Genomic DNA, 24,393 nt, shown 5'->3' on the forward strand with positions numbered 1-24,393 from the left:
AGCTAAAATCAAGGTTTTGGCAGTGCTCCATTCCTTCTGGAGGCTCCAGATGGGAATCTGTTTCCTTGGCCTTTCCAGTTTTTAGCGACTATTCATGTTCCTTGGCTCATGGCCCTGTTTGTCCATCTTCAAAGTCAGCAATTTGGGGCTGAATCCTCATTCTGCCATTTCTCTGGTTCTCTCTTTGATTCTATCTTCTACTTTTTAAAGACCCCTGTGATTACACTGGGCATAATGAGATAATCTGGGATAGCTTCCCTGTCTACAGTCAGCTGATAAGCAACCTTAATTCTGTCTGCAATCGTAGTTCCTTTAGCCACGTAACCTAACATATTAACAGGTTCTGGGCCTTAGGATGTAGGCATCTTTGGGGGAACATTATGCTACCTACCATACCTGCCTCATCCTATCCCTACCCCTGGAAGCAGGGATTGCAAGTCAGGCCCATTCCTGGGAGACAAAGGCCTTTTGTGATTAATGGCTTCGGCTGGAGCACTCCCCATCAGCCCGACTGAAACTTACTTAGAATGACACTGCACTGGCCATCAGAGAAATGCAAATCAAAACCACAATGAGATACCATCTCACACCAGTTAGAATGGCAATCATTAAAAAGTCAGGAAACAACAGGTGCTGGAGAGGATGTGGAGAAATAGGAACACTTTTACACTGTTGGTAGGACTGTAAACTCGTTCAACCATTGTGGAAGTCAGTGTGGCGATTCCTCAGGGATCTAGAACTAGAAATACCATTTGACCCAGCCATCCCATTACTGGGTATATACCCAAAGGACTATAAATCATGCTGCTATAAAGACACATGCACACGTATGTTTATTGCAGCATTATTCACAATAGCAAAGACTTGGAACCAACCCAAATGTCCAACAATGATAGACTGGATTAAGAAAATGTGGCACATATACACCATGGAATACTATGCAGCCATAAAAAATGATGAGTTCATGTCCTTTGTAGGGACATGGATGAAATTGGAAATCATCATTCTCAGTAAACTATCGCAAGAACAAAAAACCAAACACCGCATATTCTCACCCATAGGTGGGAATTGAACAATGAGATCACATGGACACAGGAAGGGGAATATCACACTCGGGGGACTGTGGTGGGGTGGGGGGAGGGGGGAGGGATAGCATTGGGAGATATACCTAATGCTAGATGACGAGTTAGTGGGTGCAGCACACCAGCATGGCACATGTATACATACGTAACTAACCCGCACAATGTGCACATGTACCCTAAAACTTAAAGTATTAAAAAAAAAAAAAAAGGAATGACACTGCAGTCTAAGACATTTCCTATTCTGCCTTCTTGTCTTCCTCCCTCTCTTCCACATTGGTCAGACTTACATCTTGGACAGCTCTCCCAGCCATCTTCTACTGCCTCCCTATTTTTCCCTCCCAGACTTTTCCCCGCAAAACATCTGTTGCAGGTGGTATTAATTTCCTATCACGGCTGTGACAAATTACCACAAACTCAGTGGCTTAAAACAATGCACATTTATTATCTGACAGTTCTCGAGGTCAGAAGTTTAAAATGGATTGGCAGTGCTACACTCCTTCCGGAGTCTCTAGGGGAGAATCTATTGCCTTCCCAGATTCTAGAGGCTTCCTACTTCCTTCCCTCATGGCACAGCACTGCTCCAACTTCTGCTTCTGTGGTCCCATCTCCTTCTCTGACTTGTGTGATTATATTGTGCCCACCCAGATAATTTGGGATAATTCCCCCGATCTCAACACCTTTGGTTTAATCACAGTTGCAAAAATCTCTCATCACATAAGGTAACATTCACAGGTTCCTGGGATTAGGACATGGACACATTAGTAGGGGCCATGACTACCACACATCTAATTTCATTTTGGTGTCTGCTTTTCAAAGGACCCAAACTAGCAGTCACTTTAGCTAAAATGCCCTCCTATGAGCTTCTATAGTACCTTCCCCAAAAAGCACTTACACAACTCTAATTACTTCTGTGTTTATGTTCACAAAGGACTGTGGACTTCGGAGAATATTGTCTCATTCACTGGTATATTGCTGTTTAGTAAAAGTGTCTGGCATTTTGTAGATGTTTAATATTTATTGAATTCTTTCTTGAATAAGTATTTGAATTAAAAAAAAAAGACTTTTGAAAAGAAAATGTAAGAGATTTCCATGGTAAGAAGTTTTAAATTCTTTGCTTGTCACAATATTGCCATTAAAAATTTAATGAGGCAGAGATTAATATTTCTTCCTTTACTGCAAACCAAATCAATGGTTTCCCTCATAAGTACTGTTGGCCAATTGCCTATTAGCTCTCAAGTTCATTTTCCACTCTCTCCCTGTTCTGCTTCACTGGGATCTACGTTTCCCATGTACCCACAAACTCTGGTTTCCAGGGAGGCAACAGAAGATCAGAGAGCAGAACGAGAGAGGAGAAACATGGTATTTCTCACCCTTTGCCCCACTCCCCTTCTGCTTCGAGTGTCCCTGGCAGTGGCGGTATCATCTTTGTCTCTAGCTTCAAGACTCTGGTAGCACCAGTTCCTCCTGCTGTCCTTTCCATCTGAGTGGTGGTAGCACTTCCCACTCTTGCTAATCCCTGGGTTGCTTCAACATCCCTTTTTGCTTCTTAGCCTTGATTCCATCACCCACAAAACCAACTCCCTGTATTCCTTCTACCTGAAAGATCTGGAGTTGTGTTTTCCCAGTTACATGGTGATTGAAAAAAATACTTACAACTTTGAGGATTATTGGAAATTCTTAGTCCCTATAAAAAATTTCTATCCTGATTATAACATTGAATGATCAGGAATTATGTTTTCCATCAGCCAATTCTATTTAAACCCCATAGTCTTTATAACTTCTGGTAGAAAAATAGAAACAAAAATTCTGTAAATCGAATTTTGCTTTTCAAGAGTGGATCAAAGTTCAACAAGATCCAAATATTGTACTTACAAAGAAATAGAACCAATTCTCAGAAGTCTGATTTAAATCCTATGTTGATTTAGCTAGATTATATTTTATTCAGTTTCTACAATTTTATGCAGTTTCCCAAGCATGGTGTTACTAAGAGGCCCTTTCACAGTTGTATGAGTAACTTAGAAAGTCACTGCTGTGTAAGAGATGCTTCAGGAATTAATATTAACTATATTCTTATGTTTTTTGTGTAAAAAGATGCAATATCAGATGATGTTAAAATGAATAAAAGTTCAGCTGGTAGTGGTGGCACACACCTTTAAATCTCAGTTATTTGACAAGCTGAGGCGGGAGGATCGTTTGAGCCCAAAGTTCGAGACCAGCCTGGGCAACATAGCGAGAACTCTGTCCCAAAAAAGTTAATAAACAAGTATAAGGCCCAGAGAATTGCAAACTGTTGAATCTAGAAATATAACTAGAGCTGAAGAGTAAAAGTATGTATTCTTTTTTTTTTTTCTTGAGAGGGGTGTCACTCTCACAGCTCACTGCAGCCTTGGCCTCCCAGGCTCAGGTGGTTCTCCCACCTCAGCTTCCTGAGTAGCTGGGACCACAGGCACGCTATCACGCCCAGCTGATTTTTTGTAGAGACACGGTTTCGCCATGTTGCCCAGGCTGGTCTAGAACTCCTGGGCTCAAGCCATCCATTCACCTTGGCCTCCCAAAGTGCTGAGATTACAGGCGTGAGCCACGGTGCCTGGCCTAAAAGTATATATTCATAACAAAAGGCTGCACACATTGATAACCACAAATCACCTGAAAACTGGGTAGAAAGGGAAAATTTACAGTGTAACAAAGGTTGGAGAAGTCAGAGAAATACAAATTGGAGTGATATTATATAGTGGAAAAATTAAGAAAAACTGAGAAATAAAACTTTGTTAATGAATATAAACTGAATACGTATTTCTGGGTTTGTTCCCTAAGGTTCATGAACAAAAACACATTTACATCAAATGTGTTTGTTTTTCATTTTAATCAAAACAAAATGGTTCTAACAAGATGAAATTTGGTTGCTGACTTCTGTCACACAAAAGAAGAGATCTCCAAACCATTTTGTTAATGGAGAAGTGATATTCTGACTGCTGGCCTCACATATCATTCTGAGTTAAACATGTTTTATAATATCACAAATGAGCGAACATTTTTCAATATCCTCTTTTAATTTTTTTTGGCCGCATTTTATGCATTTCATAATCTGATGTTTTATCATTTATATGAACTAAGCCTGATGAAACCATTCGACGACTTGTAAACTTTCCACTGTAGCTTTCTCGTTGCTTGTTAACCTCCGGAGCAGTATATGGTCTTGCAGAGTGTCTGGCATGGTTATGGATATCATCTGAGCTTTTTCCTAAAAGCCTTGATCTTGATTTTACTTTTTTAAGGTGTGTAAATGAGGTCATGTCATGTAAATCCTCAAATTTATCTGAACAATCCTAAATAATAAAATAAAAGATCCAATTGGTAAATTAGGTTTCTTAAAAGTAGGTTTTAAATTTACAAGGACTTCTGACATGGATGGTCAAAAGAAAAAAGAAAAACAAACAAGGACTAAAGTTTATAATAGCAACAGTTAAAGACAAAGAATGAAAACACTGAACGTTTCTTAGGCAGTCTCTAAATTCAGACCCTACACCCGATGCCTCCCATTAGATACTGTGCTAGATACTATGCTAGCAACCATGCTTTAAAAAGATCTGTTACAAAGTATCCGTTATTTCAAAAGATATTGAAGATAAGCTAGAAACCTGAAAAACTTGAGAGCTGACCTCAGGGGTCAGACTCCTAAGCAATGCTGGCCAGATTACTTTGTAATTTCTCTCCAACAAAATCTCTCTCTCCGACCCCAAATATAAATTATGAACTCTTATATTTTACTTTTCATATCATCCAAAATTTGATCTTTCATCCTTTAATAACCATCTTTAATTTATGTACATACAGAGGGAGAGAGTGTGTGCCACACCCAAGAATATGGTTATAATGTTTACATTAAAAATAAAAAATTGCATGTATACTCTGAGTAAACAAGTAAAACATTTGGTAAAATAACTGGAAGGATATATACCATAGTAAATGATTCTTTTTCAAATTTTCTATTATATAGCTATATAAGGTATGAATCTAGTAGTTACCCTCAAATTAGGGTAAACAATTTCCTCAGCAGTTTGAGCAGCTCATCTCATAATACTTTGCAAAGATAGCCACACCAAGGGAATGGGCTGCTTGATTTGAACACAGGTGGGGATGGATTAATAGAACTGGGGATCAGGGAACATTGGGCAGGACTAATAAGAATTAGGCAGTCAGAAAAAGATTTACAAAAAAGACTGTATAACGAGTCTAAAGATAAATTCTACCTATTTAACATTTCTGCCTGAGTTTGGAGAAGGCAAGAAAACATTCTTCCTCTTCCCTCTTACGTACACAAGACAATTAGGGAAGCCACAATGAGATAATTTATGCTATGTTAGTGAGTAACACATAATTTTCCTTCACAGCTGATATAACTTGATTACTGGAGTGGCAGTGGAAGGGCATGGAGACCCAGGCCACTGGTCACTTTTCTAGGTGCTCCTACGACTCAATTTCTCTCTTCTGTCTTGATTCCTTTGGGAGATTCCTGGATTTTAGAAAATCAGATGAGTAAGTTGTTATCATCTGAAAAATGCCCTCTTACCACACAATTATCTATTAGAGGAAAGTTTAGGAACAGTTGGTTTAACTGAGAGAAATAAAGATAACTCTATCTCCCTTGCCTGCTCTTAGGATAAGGGTTCTGAGATCCTATATAATCTTATATCATTTAACATAAACACAATTTCTTACTTTGCTTGAAAAGTTGTATTAAAGATTCCATTTGTCTTAAAAAATTCAGAAAATCCTCTTTGAAGACTATCACCCCATCTTCTACCTTTTTTCCGAGTGTGTAGACACGTGTGTATATACACTCACCCCCTCAATACTAAGTTTCCGAATTTAGATAGAAAAGAAAAATCCAAAATTGAAAGTATAAGCTGATATTTATACCCTGTCACTATATAGCTAATATTTAGCTGTATAATATATAGTGTGTATAATATATAGCTATATAATATTTACCCTGTTACTATAAAGCTAATAGTTTGCTTTACTGTGGAAAATAAATTCAAAGCAATTACGCAGAAATTAGATTTTCTCAAAGGTAGAATTATGCACATCAAAGTATCAATTTAATATGAGTTTTACTTACTCATATTTACTTAGCAGTTTTTCCAATTATGGGTCATGCCTGTTATGCATACTATAGGGAAGACCAGTGATTCAGAAAATTAAAAATCCCTTCCATTCCTAGATTTTAAATTTGCTTTAGAATGATTTGTATAAAGTCTAGTCGCAGATTTACTTTCCTAATTTTTTTTTTTTTTTTGAGACTGATCTTGCTCTCTTGCCCAGGCTGGAGTGCACTGGCACCATCTTGGCTCACTGCAACCTCTGCCTCCTGGGTTCAAGCGATTCTCGTGCTTCAGTCTCTCAAGTAGCTGGGATTACAGGCGTGCACCACGACACCCAGCTAATTTTTGTACTTTTAGTAGAGATGGAGTTTCACCATGTTGGCCAGGCTGGTCTCAAATTCCTGGCCTCAAGTGATCCACCTGCCTCAGCCTCCCAAAGTGCTGGGATTATAGGCGTGAGCCACCGCGCCTGGCCTCCTAATTGTTTTATGTTAATATTAAAAATATATTTGAATTCTCAAGTTTCTCAGCACATGATATAGCATGGTGGTGAAAAAAGAAAAGACTAGAAGTTAAATTTTTGCAATTCATAATCCAATGGATTGTAAATTTTGCATATCCCTAATTTTTAGCCAGATAACTGGCACATGGGAGCTTCATATTTGTTTAACTGAAGCAAAGATAATTCGCTATGTGAAAAAAAACCTCTAATAGTTGTAGTTATATCTCTATGAAAAGAAAATGTCGGCTATGTTTCCACAGTATCTGGCCACAGCCAATGGTTGTACTAATTTTAGTCAGGGCTAAAATCCAGCCAGTTTTCCACAATCAGGACTGTGTACTCTGACTCTCGGCTGTGTCAGCTGGGAGAATCTGCCCAGAGGAAGAGGGCACCTTTTTCTAATTCATGTCCCAGATGGTGGGTTGGGGGAGGGGTGCCACTGTTTATTTCATAAAAAGGTAGTAGGTGTGTTAACAGTCCCGCTGATTTTGTGATTGTATTTTGAATCAGGTGAGGTGATATTTAAGTTTCAGAGGAATTTTTTTGTTTGTTTGTTTTGAGACGGGGTCTCACTCTGTCACCCAGGCTCGAGTGCAGTGGCGCGATCTCGGCTCACTGCAAGCTCCGCCTCCCGGGTTCATGCCATTCTCCTGCCTCAGCCTCCCGAGTAGCTGGGACTGCAGGCGCCCGCCACCATGCCCGGCTAATGTTTTGTATTTTTAGTAGAAACGGGGTTTCACCATGTTAGCCAGGATGGTCTGGATCTCCTGACCTCGTGATCCACCTGCCTCAGCCTCCCAAAGTGCTGGGATTACAGGTGTGAGCCACCACACCTGGTCTTTCAGAGGAATTTTTAAATTGGAGGTCTGTATGTCTTGGGGGTAATTAAGGTTATACACACAGTTGGATGCAGATATATACACCCTAAATTATTGCCAGAACTTTGCCAAATACAGAAGTAGAAGACTTAGAAAAACATTATTACATGTATAGTTCTTCTTGCAGTCCAGTGAAGCAGTGTCCTTGGAACAGACTTCTTTAGGTGAATTCTTGTGGTGGGCAGTGTGGTTGGTAGTATCCTGACTATCTTGTTAAATGACTTTTTTGGTTGGGCGACACGGTCTCTTTCTTTTCGGACCTTGGGTTTTAGATCTTCTATCTTAAATAATTCTGGGAAGAGGTGTGGTTTCAAGTTTTTCTCATCTTCTACAACCTTATATTGGAATGACTGTATTTCAGGGAACTTGGCACATTTTTCACTGCAAATTTCATCTGGTTTTATATAAAGAGTTTGTATTTCTTTTTTGTATTGTGCAAATGTTACTAAATGCTTTTTATTATTGTTATTATTTCCTTTCAATGTCTGACAATACTGGTCTTCTAATTTTGATTTTTCCCCAGTCTCTGTATTGAAATGAGTTAAAGTGCTACTTTGCCAGGAAGGGAAAGTGATTCTGTTTAAGTACTCATCTTCCCTTGGCATTCTGGCATTAGGAATTCTTGGATACGATGTTAATACTGCTTCAGGTTTTTCCTGAACAGTCCATTTATAGATGTTTACATGCTCCTTTCTATCAAGGGACTTCATTTTCAGTGTCTTTTCACACCAAGCTTTTGATTGAGTTATTTTTGATTTACCACCCCAACTATATGGGTCTTGAATCTCTGTTTTATGAACAGAATTTTCTGCTTGAGGAAGCTGCGTGAATACATGTTCTTTCCTTAGTTTCTTAAGCAGTATATCTGTAAGTATTTCTGATGACTTACTTAATGGACTTGCCTGGATATTTTCATTGGAAGAAGGTTGTACTTTGATTAAACTTGGTGTTTTAGCTTCTTCCTTAGTGTAATAACTTTTCTGTTCCTTAATTAAAGATGAATTTCCCTTTAAATTCTGTAAGGGAAAATATTTCTTTTCTTTCTCTCGAATCAATTCTGCTTCTCTAAGTTTATCCTCAGAAACCGTTTGTAAAGTGGTTTGTTGAACAATTCTTGAATATTTATTTTGCTTTTCTGAATGCTTCTCCACAAAGTGACAGTCATCTCTAAAAGGTAAATGTGTTTTTATATATTTTAATGGTATAGAACTAGAATTAAGCAAATTTATATGCTGGTTGATCCCTTCTAATTGCTTTTTTGTCATTAGTCCTGATTTTGAAAGTTTTTCTATAAAAAGACTCTGGAGGTGTTTGCTTAAATCAGCTTTTAGATGTAATAATTCATTTTCTGATAAAGCTATCAGATAGTTTTGTAGAGATTTACTTAAAGGATATTTCATGTTTATTTCAAACCTTCTACCAAAACTCCCCTTTGAAATATCTTGTTCTAGTTCATGAAAAGATATTGAGACACTTTTAGTCCTTAGAGAAGATATGTTTGGGTATATAGTCTCAGATGCTGTCTCATTAAATAAACTGCTTTCTGAAATGTTTTTTAGGAAATAGTTTTGGAGAATCTCTTTTAAAAAAGATCTCAGCTTTATTTCCAAATGTTTATCTATGAAATGATGATTGAAATTGTTGACAAAAGACATGATTTCTTTCACAGTTTCAGAATATTTCCCCTGAAAACTGTTTGGCCCTTTCTGCTCTGCTTTCTCATTCATCAGATACAGATTTTGATAGATTTTTGGTAAGTCCTCCTTGGTGATATGTCCTGATTCTGAAAGTCTTTCTACAAGGTAATGCTGGATTTGTTTACTTAATTCAGATTTTAAATGTTTTACTTCTGACTCTGAGAGTTCTTCTAGAAACACACGCAACTTTGGACTCAAAATAGGTTTTCTGTCTAATTTGTCTGCTTTATCAAAATCCTCTTGGAGTTCTTCAAGGTGTTCTGTGTCACTTGTAAAAGAAGGTTGAATTAGTCTTTCTAATTCTTTTTCTGGTTGTCCTCTTCTTTCAGAATGATTATATTTGAAAAAAACATTGAAGATGTTTTTTAAAAAGGATTTTAACATTATTTCATCTGATTCACTAAGTTTATCCATTAATGAGTTAGTTAAACTTTCTAAAGTAGAACTGAGATCATTTTTGTCTTTACAAAGCCTCTGACCATTTCTTGGCAAATACAGTTCTTTATTTGCTATTGAATAATAACTTGAATCTTGTGGGAACATATTTTGGTCTTCCTGTATAAATTCAGCTCTACTAACAGAAGTAGTGTCTTTGGGAATGATGGGTATACTCTGCTCAGAAAGAGGTTCTGTCTCGCTTCTGATTTCTGAATAATACTCTTGGGAATCCTTTAGGTTTCCTTTAGGAGAAGTGATCCCCGTACCCAGCAAAGAACTCTTATGGTGTTCTTTATCTAATTCTATCACTTTGATTATCCCAGATTCTAAAAGTGTATCTATAGGAAATGCTTGTATTATCTGGCTTGTAGCAGATCTGGGCTGTGGCAATTCTATTTCATCAGCATTTTCTTCATGAAATAGAATATGTGATGACAAACTTCTCTTCCAAGGTGTAGGTAATTGATTTTCCAAGTTCATTGGTGTTTCACTTGGCTCTTTCACTTCTATCTCCAATTCTGAGAATATTGGTGCAGTGAATATTTGCCTCATAATGTAGTCATGTACAGTGCCACTTGAACCTGATTTGGAGTTAGGTACTTCGCTTATTAAATGTTTCTTTTTGGTACTACTATTTTTTTTAATTGGAAAATCTCTCTCATCAGCTTCGAAGTGTTTTTTAGAGACATGTTCTTCTACCTCTGGAGATTGTCCTGGTCCACTTTCTAAAAATGAATCTGCAGGAATATTTTTAATTATCTGACCCCCTTCTGAAAGTGAATATTCAGGAATATTTTTAATTACTTGACCACCTTCTAAAAGTGAATCTGCAGGAATATTTTCAATTATTTGACTACCTTCTGAAAATGAATCTGCAGGAATATTTTTAATTATTTGACTTAAAGTAGTCTTTGAATTTAAAATGTCTTTTTCTGAAAGCCAGTTGTTTAAATCTTGTTTTTTTTCCAATACGTTGTCTTCCATACTACTTGATGATTTATCATGAATGCTTAGAAGTGGAGAACTACTTTTCTCTCTTGCTTCACTGTTCATACTAACTTCTGGTTTAGAAAATAATTTGTCTGAAAGGTCTTGCAGATTTTCACTTAAAATTGACTTGAGTATCATTGATTGTTTTAAATATTCTATATGGGGGGTAAAATTTAAAGACTTCGAGAGGTGACATGTGTTTGCCTGTACATTTCCAGCCCTTGATGATTCTCCTTTGATGCTTGGTAAAGATACATTTGGTAGATTTTCTTTTAAACTATTCTTTGTATCTAAACCCTTTATTGTATTGATAGTAGGATCAGGGGCTAACTTATTCTCAGTTTCTAACATCTTTGTTGTGAAGATATTAGGGTCATGGGCCCAGGTTGTATTAGCAGGTCCTGCAGTTTTTGATTGTGCTGGATAAGGAGGATCCTGGTCTTCATGCTCTATGACCTCTGCACCTAAGATATTTCTATATTTGTATATATCTTGATCTTTTCTTTTTCTGACTGACATTTTGTTTATATTCCTTAGAAAAGGATCAAAACCGTTCTTGTTGAATTTCTGAAACTGCAATATTAAAAAAAAGGTAAGACATTTGGTAGCAATGATTTTGAATTTATCATATATTTTCTAGTTAATTTTCCTTGAGCAATCTGTCAATGTATCTATTCAGTCTCCTACCCTCCACAAAGGGAGAAAATCAACTTTAATTATTTTAAAATATTTGAAATTGAAATAAAAATTTTAATGGAAAAATTTCAAATTCTTAATTCTGACACTATTTTGTGTCCAAGTGCTTTTTGCTACTTGGAATATTTTTAAATACTTAAAAAGCCACCCATAAATAGTTTATTTTTAACAACGCAATTTCTGGTGTTAGCTTCATTTCCTTAGACAATGGCTAACATCAGGATCCAAGTCTCATTTACCTAAATATTTGCTACATTCATAGCAATGTAGGAAATTTTTTTTTTTTAATTCAAGCAAGTAGTGAAAAGTACTGAAATGAAACTCATGAAAAGTATCATAAATATTCTCTAAAAACTGACTTGGGGGCATATATCATCTACCTTTAAGTCTGAGAGTTTCAACAATGATAATGAGCTCCACCCAGTCCTTAACATGTCACAGTTTCATCTTGCTTTTTGATGCATACTGTATAATGCCTCAGAAATGGATGAGGGAGAACCATATAGAAAACTCAGGATTACAGTAAAAATTCAGTGTAATATTCATAAGCAGCTTTTTAGCTCTGGGATCAAGCTCTTCTAATCATTGAAACAGCCTTCAAAATAAAAATTCTTATTGAAACTCTTTTTTCGTACTTCTGTGTTATCTAACTAAAAAAAGCAAAATGTGAAAGAATCAGCCTAGTATTTGTCTTATTTTATTTCAACTTAGTAGTTCAAAATTATTTTTAATGGATGCAACTTATTGTAACTGGTTTTCAAATTCTAGTGGATACCAAGATGACAAATTAAGAATCCCCTTGGTTTTTTTTTTTTTTTTTTGAGAAATACAAATTCCCAGGTTCTGTTTCCAAGTTGAGATTCATTAGGTCAGAAGTGGACCTGGGAATGTGTATTTTTTACAGTAGCCAGGTGTTTCTAATGAGTAGCTTTTTAGAACTATTGAATTAAAGTATTGAAGAAACCTAGTAATTAAGTATAATGATACTGGGATAGAATAATTCAGGACTCACCTGAAATTTTGGTTTGAATTCTATATATTCTGGTCTGAAAGATGGTGAATTATATTCTTTTGGTGAAAAAGCCACCTTATAAAAAAAGAAGTTCTAATTTTAGATTACTTGTAATATAAGAATATCAAGATCATTTTATTCTTGCAATAGTTATTAGAGATATAAAATTTTTAAACCTAAATATTTTTATCATAACAACTATACCTTGCCAATTATGAAAGAAATCTATATACATATTATATATGTGAAATATTGGATTCTTTGGTATTATAATAGTCACCCTATTGAATTTGTAAAGTCAAAATAATGCACAGCAACTTCAAGCAGAAACAAAAGTAAAAATAAAATAGAATTGTCAGAAGAAATGTAATCTGATTTTTAAAAGGCTGTGAGATGCCTTTACACAATACATGGCAGCTCATATTATATTGAGATAGCATTTTATTTATTTATTTATTATTTTTTCGAGACAGAGTCTTGCTCTGTTGCCCAGGCCAGAGTGCAGTGGCATGATCTTGGCTCACTGCAACCTCTGCCTCCTGGGTTCAAGAGATTCTTGTGCCTCAGCCACCTGAGTAGCTGGGATTACAGGCATGTGCCAGCACATCTGGCTAATTTTTGTATTTTTTGTAGAGACGGGGTTTTGCCATGTTGGCCAGGCTGGTCTCGAACTCCTGACCTCAAGTGATCCGTTTTCCTTGGCCTCCCAAAGTGCTGGGATTACAGGCGTGAGCCACCGCGCCCGGCCATAGATAGCATTTTCAATGATTATCAACCTGTCACTGTTAAATGAATATTTAAAACTCCCTAAAGAAATCTAAATCAAGATGTGTGGGAACAATTACAGGATCACAGAACCATTGAATTTTTAGAGATGGAAGTATTTTAGAGACAATCTAGTTCTAGTTCTTATTTTACACAGAATCTGAAGCTGAAGTTTCTTGTCCCAAGTTACCCAGATGACTAGTAGCTTAAATCCTAGGTGTCCAAAGTTTTCATTGGGTACTCAGTCCCCCACACAATCCAGATAGCAGTGAGGGAGAATGAGTGGCTTTAGAAGCATCATAATGTGCATCCACACTGCCAACTCATACAGAGAGAAAACGTGACACATCTCTTCACAGAACACTTGGTACTTCAAATGACTTTCCTATACATTATCTCCTTTAGTCTGTAGAGGGTTCACTATGGACTAAATTAATTAAAATAACAATTCAATGAGTAACATTTTTATTAGAGATACTTTTAGGTTATTTTAAGGTTTAATTAACATTAAGCAGTTAATAAATGACCCTATTCTTAAAGCCTCAATGGCTTCCCACTCATTGTCCTCACATACCAACTCTATATTGTCTCTGCAAGTTGCTCAATATTTGCCAGTATCGTTCCTCTCCTTCAGCCAAATGTGTCTAACTCTGAATTCTTGACATACATCTTGTACTTCCATACCTATTCTTTTGTTCCTTTTGTTTTTCTTTGCTTAAATTTCTCCCAAATCTCTCTTAAACACAGTTTACGTTATAACATTTGAAGGCTCATTGCTTTAAATGAATAGAAAAATTTAAAAAAGAAACATGTATGATAAACAAGTGAAAGAACAAGTAGTAGAAAAATATAATTTCATTTTTGTAACAAAGCAAACAAAAAATTCCCCCTATTACAAGCATGGACAAATGTGTGAATGGATTCAAAATGCTTACATTGTTTTCACACGAAAGTAGCTCTGGAGGAGAGGAAGGAGGATGCTATTAACTTTTACTCCGTTTAACTGGGTATTATTGATTAGATGAACATATAATTCTTTCACAAATAAAAAGCTTCAGTAAAGTAATATTGGGGGAATGCTCTAGGTATTCATGTTAGGAAGCTAGGAAAAGACAATAAAACAAACCAATACCGGAGCTTCAAGATGGCAGACTGAACATGTGAGTCTACTCTCCTTTCTCCCAAGGTTCCAGTACATTAACAGAAAATATTATTTCAAAAAGAAAGAACCATGGCAATACTAGAAATCAGTAAGGTGAGCTACCAGGATCTAGAACTTTGAGAAAATACAGAAAATATGAGAGCAGATATAATTGACTTAATGGAAAAACCCAATCAGAAAAACCATAACCTTAAACAATAGTTATTAGAGATGTAAAATCAGGGGGGTCTGAGAAGCAATACATTCCAAGTCAGTGTATTAATCAGGGTTCTCCAGAGGGACAGAACCAACAGGATATATGTATATATAAAAGGGAGTTTATTAGGAAGAATAGCGCACACGATTACACAGTGAATTCCCGCAATAGGCTATCTGCAAGCTGGAGAAAGAGAGAAGCCAGTAGTGGCTCAATCCAAGTTCAAAAGACTCAAAACCAGGGGAGCCAACAGTGCAACCCTCAGTCTGTAGCTGAATGCCCCAAAGCCCCCTGGAGACTGCTACTGCAAGTCCCAGAGTCCAAAGGCCGAAAAACCTGGAGTCTGATGTCCCAGGGCAGGAGGAGAGGAAGCAAAGCATCTGGCAAGGGAAGAGGGAGTGAGCCAGAAGACTCAGCAAGCAAGCTCATCCCTCCTTCCTCTGTCTGCTTTGTTCTAGCTGAGCTGGCACTGACTGGACAGTGCCCACCCACATTGAGGGTGGGTTTTCCTCTCCCAGTCCACCACCTCAAATGTCAGTCTCCTCTGGCAACACCCTCACAGACACACCCAGAAACAATACTTTTCTAGCCCTCTAGTCATCTCTCAATCCAGTTAAGTTGACACCTAATATTAACCATCACACTCAGCATACACAAAGAAAATCAGATCATGGGAATGTCCATAGTTATTAAAGAGCTGCATTTGGAAAAGCTGGACCTCTTGGACCCTTCGTTATCACCCCTCTCTTTCTCTGTGCACACAGAGCAAACACTGCTGGCAGCACTGTCTTTTCCCAGTCACTCTCCCAAACATCAAAAAACCATTCTCTAAGGAGAATATGGCATATTCCTAAGCAGAGATATAAGTTTTGGGCCTTGACAGGGAAGCAGAGTAACGATTGCTGAGACTCACACTTCCAAATTAGATACCTAAAAGGGGATTTGAAAAAAAGGAAAGGGAGTTCCATCCAGGAAACACACTGGTTCTTTGGAAATGTAGAGTCCTCAGCCATCCTACCTGCCATCTTCCATCCCCACACACCCTCCAGGGAAGCCTGCCCAGCACATAGACAGAGTATACCTATATAATCAACATACCCCTCCATTTATAAACATAAAATGAAGTTTACCATATATATGAGAAAAATTGATACATGTAAGTGAAGAATCAATAAGAACAAATGGAACTAACTCCAGCATAAATAGAAATATTTCTGACAAATGTAGGAGGAGGGTGACCCTTGGAAAAGATTCTAAATAGCTCAGAGATATTCAAGAGGATATTGAGTTCTCTTTAGCTGTATGATAATTATCTCAAATTTAATGTATATAAAATACAATTTTAGATTAGGCACCACACTCCCAAAAAAGAAAACCCTTAGCTTTTCTGTTTTTCCTCTTCTCAGTTGATGATGCATCTATCTCTGGAATTGTTAGGCCAGAAACCTAAGGGTTTTTATTCCTCTCCTTCTCCTTTCCATAACTAATCCAGCATTAAGTCCTGTGGCTGCTGCCTTCAAAACAGATCAAGTATGACCAGTTGCAGTGGCTCACACCTGTAATCCCAGCACTTTGGGAGGCTGAGGCAGGTGGCTCACTTGAGTCCAGGAGTTTGAGATCAGCCTGAGCAACATGGAAAAACCTTGTCTCTACAAAAAATACAAAAAATTAGCCAGGTGTGGTGGTGCAGCCTATGGTCCCAGCTACTCAGGAGGCTGAGGTGGGGGATCACTTGAGCCTGGGAGTGGGAGGTTGCAGTGAGCTATGATCATACCACTACACTATAGCCTGTGCAACAGAGTGAGACCCTGTCTAAAAAAAATTATATATATATATAATTTATATATTAATATATATTGAGTATATAATATATATAATTTATATATGATATATATATATCCAATCACTTTTTCCCATCAACCCCCCTACTACTATAGAACAAGCCACCATCATGTTTCCCCAAGCAGTGGTATCCTAAGTAGTCTCTTGATTCCTGTGACAGAAAATGCTAGTTGCCTTCCTAAAATGTATTATCTCAAGAACTTACATTTTTTTAAGGGGCAGAAATGTCCCCTATCAAAAGAGCTACATCTTCTAGCCTCCTTTGCAGACAGGAGTGGCCATGTGACAAAATTTTGGCCAACTAGACATAATTGGAAGTTGTTGAGAGAGTATCTTAACTCTCTCTTCTGAGTGTCTTAAAACAGAGGCCGACAGTCAGGTGCAGTGGCTCACACCTGTAATCTCAGTACTTTGGGAGGCCGAGGTGGGTAGATCACGAGGTCAGGAGATCGAGACCATCCTGGCTAACACGGTGAAACCCTGTCTCTACTAAAAATACAAAAAATTAGCCGGGCATGGTGGCACGCGCCTGTGGTTCCAGCTACTTGGGAGGCTGAGGCAGGAGAATCACTTGAACCCGGGAGGTGGAGGTTGCAGTGAGCCAAGATTGCATCACTGCACTCCAGCCTGAGTGACAGAGTGAGACTCTGTTTCAAAATAAAAACAAAAAATAAAAAACAAAACAAAAACACAGAGGCCGACTTAGGTGATAAGTATGTAACTGAACTTGTCTTTTTCTTTCTTCCTGCCTGGAATACATGTGATGCCTGGAGATATAAAGTCCATCTGGTGTTACCCTTCAGTAACATGCTCATGCTGAAGATGGCTGTCCATAAAGAAAAGGAATCTGGGCCCCTGATGACGTCATGAAACCACAATATTACGATTTAAGGCACTGTTTCTAAGTTTTTGTTACTCATGCTTAACATGTTACTCATGATTAACTCATGTTAAATCATGTTTAACATGATTCTTAACTGAAAAACTTCTACACATACTGAAATTTATTCTTTTACAGTAGAATAAAGCTAGAAATCAGTAATAGAAGAAAATTAGAAAATTCACAAACATTTGGAAATTAAACAAAAAATTCTTTAAAAACCAATGGGTCACAGAAGAAATTACAAGAAAAATTAGGAACTACCTTGAGACAAATGAAAACACAACATACCAAAACTTATGGGACACAGAAAAATCGATGCTAAGGGGAGAAATTTATGGCTATAAGCATTTACACTAAAAAAGAGAAAGATCTCAGGCCGGGCATGGTGGCTTATGCCTGTAATCCCAGCACTTTGGGAGGCCAAAGTGGGCGGATCACCTGAGATCGGGAGTTCGAGACTAGCCTGACCAACATGGAGAAACCCCGTCTCTACTAAAAATACAAAATTAGCTGGGCATGGTGGTACATGCCTGTAATCCTAGCTACTCAGGAGGCTGAGGCAGAATTGCTTGAACCCAGGAGGTGGAGGTTGCAGTGAGCCAAGATCACGCCATTGCACTCTAGCCTGGGCAACAAGAGCGAAACTCCATCTCAAAAAAAAAAAAAAAAAAAAAAAAGAAAGATCTCAAATTAACAACTTAACTTTATGTTAAGGAACTATGTATACATTCCTTAATGCATACATTAGAATAAGAGCAGCAAACTAAACCTAAAGTTAAAAGAAGGAAGGAAACAATAAAGATTAGAGTGGAGGTAAATAAAATAGAGAATAGAAACACGATAGAGAATATCAGTGAAACCAAAAGATGGTTCTTTGTAAAGGTCAACAAAATTTACAAACCTTTATAGCTAAATTGATTAAGAAAAAAAGAAAGACTCAAACTATTAAGATCAGAAATGGAAGTGGGATATTATTACTGATTTTACAGAAACCAAAAGGATTATAAGAATACTATGAACATTTGTACACCAACAAGTTGGATAACTTAGATGAAATAAACACATCTCTTAAAAAAGCCAAACTACCAAAACTGACACAAGTAGAAATAGACAATTTGAATAGACTTATAAGTGAAGAAATTAGATTTAATCTCTTGACCCAGTTATCTGTGGATTTTTAGTCCCCAGATAGCTTTTATGAATACTGCTCACTGCTTTTCCTGCCCTCATTCCATGTTATGTGAGATAGAGACAAGCAAGTCCATCCTTCAGGTATCCTCCAGCCAGCTTAGAACGGACATATACAATAATTTGCAAATAAAACTATGTTCCCTCCAGTTCCATAAAGGGAATTGGGAACTAGGCTTCTGCTGCTCAAGACCAACAGTGCTGCTGTACTTAGGAGCAGATGAAAGGGTGAATACAAACTCCAAAAAACGTTTCTACTGTTTTGAACATGAATTCTAGGTGAACAGGTTTCATTTTCTTTCATTACTATAAAGATGTCACTCCATAGTCTTCTGCCTTTCATAGTCTAATAAGAAGTCTGGGCCGGGTGCAGTGGCTCATGCCTGTAATCCCAGCACTTTGGGAGGCCGACATGGGAGGATCACGAGGTCAGGAGTTTGAGACCAGCCTGACCAACATGATGAAACCCCGTCTCTACTAAAAATACAAAAATTAGCTGGGTGTCATGGCACACGCCTGTAATCCCAGCTACTCAGGAGGCTGAGGCAGGAGAATCTCTTCAACCTGGGAGGTGGAGGTTGTGGTGAGCCAAGATCGTGCCACTGCACTCCAGCCTAGGCGACAGAGTAAGACTCCATCTCAAAAAAAAAAAAAAAAAAAAGTCTGTTTTTATTTGTTCCTCTGTAAATATTTCTTATTTAAATCTGTAAATAATGTGCCTTTTGCCCCTCTGAGTAAAGGTTTCTCTTTATCATTGATTCTTAGTAATGTGATTATTAGCATGGTTTTCTTTAGGTTCATTCCCTTGGAATCTATTGAGCTTCTCAGATATGTGGGTTTATAGTTTTCATCAAACTTAAAAATATTTTGACCATTTTCTTCAAATCATTTTTCAGTTCCCCTCCCAGACTCCAGTTACATGTGTGTTATACCACTTTGTATTTTCACATGTTAGTGATACTGTGTTGTTTTTTTTTTCTATTTGTGTTTCATTTTTGTGTAGCTCCTAATCCTCTGTCTTCAGGTTCAGTGATCTTATCTTCTGCAGCATCTAATATGTTGTTAATCTCTTAAAGGTTACTATTTCAGATATTTTTTATCTCTAAAAATTCCTTTGGGGTTAATTATACCCTCTATTTTTTTCCTCATCATACTCACGTTTCCTCTACCTTCTTGAACGTATGAACTATATTTATAATGGCTCTCTTAACATTCTGTTCTATCATTGATGTCATTTCAGGATCTTTTTCTATTATTTGATTTTTCCCTACATAATGAGTCATATTTTATTGCTTTTTTATATGCCCAGTATTTTTTAAAAATACATTTTATTATTTCATTGTTTAGACACTAGGTCTCACTATGTTGCTCAGTCTGGATTCAAACCCCAGGGCTCAAATGATCTTCCTGCTTGAGCCTCCTGAGTAGCTGGGACTTCAGGCACACATTGCTGGTATACCTGGTAATTTTAAAATTTAACTTAAGAGACAGAGTCTCACTCTGTTGCCCAAGTGGGAGTGCAGTTGCAAAATCAGCTCACTGTAGCCTCTAACTCCTGGGCTCAAGTGATCCTACTGCCTCAGCCTTCTGAGTAGCTGGAACTATAGGGGGGCACCACCACACCTGGCTAATTTTAAAAATTTATTTTGTAGACACAGGGTCTTGCTTTGTTACCCAGGCTGGTCTTGAATTCCTGACCTTAAGCAATCCTCCTACCTCAGCCTCCCAAAGTCCTGGGATTGCAGGTGTGAGCCACTGTGCCTGGCCGAACACCTGGTAACATTGTATTGAATGTTAGGAATTGTGGATTTTATGTTGTTGATTGATAAATTTTTTTTTCTTTCTTTTAAATCGTTTTGAATTTGCTCTTATGCACATTTAAATTACTTGGAATTAGTTGGGTTCTTTTAAGATTTATTGCATAGAAGGTTGTCTAGAGAAACTTTTAGTGGAGCTTTAGAAGGGGCTGATTTAGCCTCTCTACAAAGGTGATACCCTTCTAAGGATTCTACTTACTCTCATGTGTTATGAGTCTTTCCACTCTGGCTGATGAGAATATGGAATTATTGGAAGTCCTGTGTGAGTACCTATAATTTTCTACCTTATCTTTCCAGTGGTTCTTTTCCTTGCTTTCAGTAATTTTCTGCTTAGATCAGTATTCAGCCAAAGACTCCAGAGGAACTTCTTTACAGTTATCTGGAGCTTTCTTGCTGCTGTAGTTTTTTCTCTTCTGGTACCCTACCAGTTCGCCTCTGTCTGCTAAATTTCAGACTCTATCTCCTCAACCCAATGAGATCTCCAAGTTCTGTTTGGCTTCCCGCTCCTGTGCTGCTGCCTTCAGGCAGTAAACTAGTACAATTATAAGGCTCACTTTGTCCCTGTAGTGAACTCTTCAATTTTATGTTGCCTTGACATCCATTTTGAATACAAGTTTAAATTTCTCATACCAGAAATAGAGCTTGGTCACTCTTGACACAGTTTTCAATTCTATACCATGCCCAAATAGCTCAAGATGGCGGCCAGAGATTAGAACTCAGAGGCATCTCTCCTACCTGGCAGACTGAGTTCCCTGCTTTCGCACCACTTCCTTTAAATGGACCATTCAGGAATTTACCCACAAACTTAAAGTGACCCATGCCCTATTCTCTGTCACATGCTCTTCTCTCTCTCTCTGTCTGACTTTTCATTCCTGCTTCTCATGACCCAGGGACTGACGGACTGCCCTCCTGACTCACTGTGCCCTCCTTGCCCAGGATCTATAAGTAAAAAATCTTTGAACTTGTTTCCTATTGTGGTGGTATGCAAAATTTGCACCTTCCATCTGAAGAACTAGGGGCTATTCCATGCCAGGTTTTCCCTGGGATGCTGGAGGGAACATAAGGTAAGGTTCCTAGTGCCAGTGTACTGGTCAGGAGAAATAAAGTGGACACAAGTCAGAGAAGAGATAAAGGGCATCTGCTAGTATAAACAAGTTTCCTGTGTAAAGGACCCCCTGGTCTCAGATTACTAGGCATTAGGCCATCTGCCAGGTAAAAGAAATATTCTGTGAAGGCACACTGTAAACACCCATATCCAGTTCTCCTTCATTTCCTGCTAGGGTAGGGTTACTAGTCACCCTGGTACTGGAACACCAATTTAGCTGGGGGCTCCCCAAATGGTTCACTTTTTTTTTTGTTTTGTTTTGTTTGAGATGAAGTATCTCTCTGTTGCCCAGGCTGGAGTGCAGTGGCACAATCTCAGTTCACTGCAACCTCCACCCCCTGGGTTCAAGTGATTCTTGTAGTTGTAACTACAGGTGCACACCATCATGTCTGGCTAATTTTTGTATTTTTAGTAGAGGAGGTTTCACCACGTTGGCCAGGCTGGTCTCGAACTCCTGACCTCAAGTGATCTGCCCACCTCGGCCTCCCAAAGTGCTGGGATTACAGGTGTGAGCCACTGCACCCGGCCCCCAGAAGGTTCACTTTTCTAAGCAATCAGTCATATGCTGCCTTTTTCCCTAGTGTCATCCTGTGCTATCATCAATCTCTGATAGGATGCACTGAGAAGGGCACTTCACCACTGATGTATTTTTTCCAAAAACTCAGAATGCAAACATAATAATGGAAAAAACATCAGACAAACACAGATTGGGGACATTCTGCAGGATACCTGGCTAGTGCTCATCAAGATTGTCAAAGTCATGTTAAAAACAACAACAACAACAACAAAACAAGGAAAATCAGAAAAACTGTCAAAAACCAGAGGAAACTGGAGAGTCATGACAACAAAATGCAATGTAGTACTCTGTACTGAATCTTGAGACACAAAGAGTATATTAATGGAAAAATTGGACAAATTCAGTCTGGATTTAGGTAATAGTAACGTACTAATGTTGGTTTCTTAGTTTTGGCAAATGTACTATGGTAATGTAAGATGTTAACAATGGAAGAAAGTGGATGAGGGGTATATAGGAACTCTCTAATATCTTTACAAGTGTTCTGTAAATCTACAGTTATTCCAAAATTAAAAGGTTATTTTAAAAAACTAATCTACTTATAAAAAAGCACAAAGCCGGCCGGGCGCAGTGGCTCACACCTGTAATCCGAGCACTTTGGGAGGCCGAGGCTGGTGGATCACAAGGTCAGGAGATCGAGACCATCCTGGCTAACATGGTGAAACCCCGTCTCTACTAAAAATACAAAAAATTAGCTGGGGGCGGTGGCAGGCGCCTGTAGTCCCAGCTACTCGGGAGGCTGAGGCAGGAGAATGGCGCGAACCCGGGAGGCGGAGGTTGCAGTGAGCCGAGATTGCGCCACTGCACTCCAGCCTGGGCGACAGAGCGAGACTCCGTCTCAAAAACAAACAAACAAACAAACAAACAAAACACCAAGTCAACATTTACAGATAAATGATGCCAAATTTTTAGGTCAATCTCATTATGAATAGATGTACAAAATTCCTAAATAAGTTATAGCAAATTCTGTGTAGTATAACCCAGGAGGAATTATATGGGAATACAAAGATGGTTCAACATTAGAAAATCTATTCATGTAATTCATTATATAAACAAATTATAAGAGACAAATTGTGTAATTTCCTCCACAGGGGTCAGCATTTGATAAAAATTAACCCCATTCTTTTTCATTTTGTTTTGTTTTTGAGACGGAGTCTTGCTCTGTCATCCAGACTGGAGTGCACTGGCCTGACCTCGGCTCACTGCAACCTCTGCCTTCTGGGTTCAAGCGATTCTCCTGCCTCAGCCTCCCGAGTAGCTGGGACTACAGGTGCCTGCCACCATGCCTGGCTAATTTTTTGTATTTTTAGTAGAGATGTGGTTTCACCGTGTTAGCCGGGATGGTCTCGATCTCCTGATGTCGTGATCCCCCTGTCCCAGCTTCCCAAAGTTTAGGGATTACAGGCGTGAGCCACCGCGCCCAGCCCAATCAACCTTATTCTTGATTTTCAAATAAATCTTCTAACAAACTAGGAATAGGATTAAAAAAGTGCTTTCCTACCTCATGCATTGCACTTAAAATTGAGACACTAATAGAATATTCATCAGAATCTGTAACAAGAATGCCTTTTCTTACTGCTGCTGTCCAATACTGCTTAATAGTTTAGCCAAGATTAGAAAAAGAAACAACAGGTAGAAATATTAGAAGTCAGGAAACAAAACTGTGCTTAATGGATGACATGATCACTTATCTTTAAAAAAATTCAAGAGAACTGAAAAATTAAGAATAACAGAGTTTAGCAAAGTGAACCAATATAAAATCAACATACAAATATATACACGGTATTATATAACACTATGTCCAAATATTGCCTGAAAAATATAATCTTAAAAAGATCCCATTCACGTTTACATCAGAAACTATCCAATACTAAAGAATCAATCTAATAAGAAATGAACAGGAGCTATGAAATATTAATAAAGAAAATAGAGGTTACTGAATTTTCCTGGATGCAAATTTTGTAAATATATCAAACTATACCAATCTATAATTCAATGCAACCCCAATTAAAATCTCAGAGTTATAGAACTTGCCAAGATGATTCTAATACTTCATCAATAAGAATTTATAAGAATTACCAAGAAAATGATGAAAAAGCAGATATGTGTGTTCCCTGCCAATATTAAATGAATTTAAAGTTATAGTAAGTAATGTTGTATAGTAATGTCATAGAAATAGGCAAAATTAATGGAACAGAATACTGAAACAGCTCATGTACATAAGGAAATTAGCATATAATAATTAGCATGTTGTATTAGTCCATTTGCACACAACTATAAAGAACTACCTGAAACTGGGTAATTTATGAAGAAAAGAGGTTTAATTGACTCACAGTTCCACAGACTTAACAGGAAGCATGACTGGGGGGGCCTCAGGAAACTTCGAATCATGGTGGGAGGTGAAGGGGAAGCAAGGCCTTCTTCACATGGTGGCAGGAGAGAGAGCAAGCAAAGGGGGAAG

General features: G+C 37.9%; 1 protein-coding gene and 1 long non-coding RNA gene across 22 annotated transcripts in view, besides 1 other annotated feature; one reads left to right on the plus strand and one right to left on the minus strand.

Annotated features, from left to right (window-relative positions):
• Nucleotides 13-771: an enhancer, noted in NCBI's record as "OCT4-NANOG-H3K27ac hESC enhancer chr2:202348230-202348988 (GRCh37/hg19 assembly coordinates)". NCBI's record gives its function as "activates a minimal SCP1, AML or CMV promoter by ChIP-STARR-seq in naive and primed H9 embryonic stem cells {active_cell/tissue: H9 hESC(naive and primed)}" and the evidence as "EXISTENCE:reporter gene assay evidence [ECO:0000049][PMID:30033119]".
• CATSPERT (catsper channel auxiliary subunit tau) overlaps nt 3,927-24,393 on the minus strand; it is a 131,758-nt gene continuing 111,291 nt past the window's right edge. For 10 of the 21 annotated variants that reach the window (XM_047443510.1, XM_047443509.1, XM_047443508.1 and 7 more), the window contains 3 exons: nt 12,401-12,475; nt 7,675-11,265; nt 3,927-4,408 (listed from right to left, as the gene is read on the minus strand). In XM_047443510.1, coding sequence (XP_047299466.1) covers nt 4,118-4,408; nt 7,675-11,265; nt 12,401-12,475 — 3,957 coding nt within the window. In that variant the 3' untranslated portion in view covers nt 3,927-4,117. Of the gene's footprint in view, nt 4,409-5,399; nt 5,596-7,674; nt 11,266-12,400; nt 12,476-24,393 lie in introns of those variants that run through there. The other 11 variants (NM_001168216.2, NM_152525.6, XM_006712333.4 and 8 more) reach the window with 4 other exon arrangements.
• On the plus strand, nt 11,195-19,194 carry LOC124906113 (uncharacterized). The gene is made up of 2 exons (XR_007088052.1): nt 11,195-11,284; nt 17,139-19,194. It is a non-coding gene; the product is annotated as an uncharacterized LOC124906113 (long non-coding RNA).

Source organism: Homo sapiens, chromosome 2, assembly GCF_000001405.40.
Source record: "Homo sapiens chromosome 2, GRCh38.p14 Primary Assembly".
Taxonomy (NCBI): domain Eukaryota; kingdom Metazoa; phylum Chordata; class Mammalia; order Primates; family Hominidae; genus Homo; species Homo sapiens.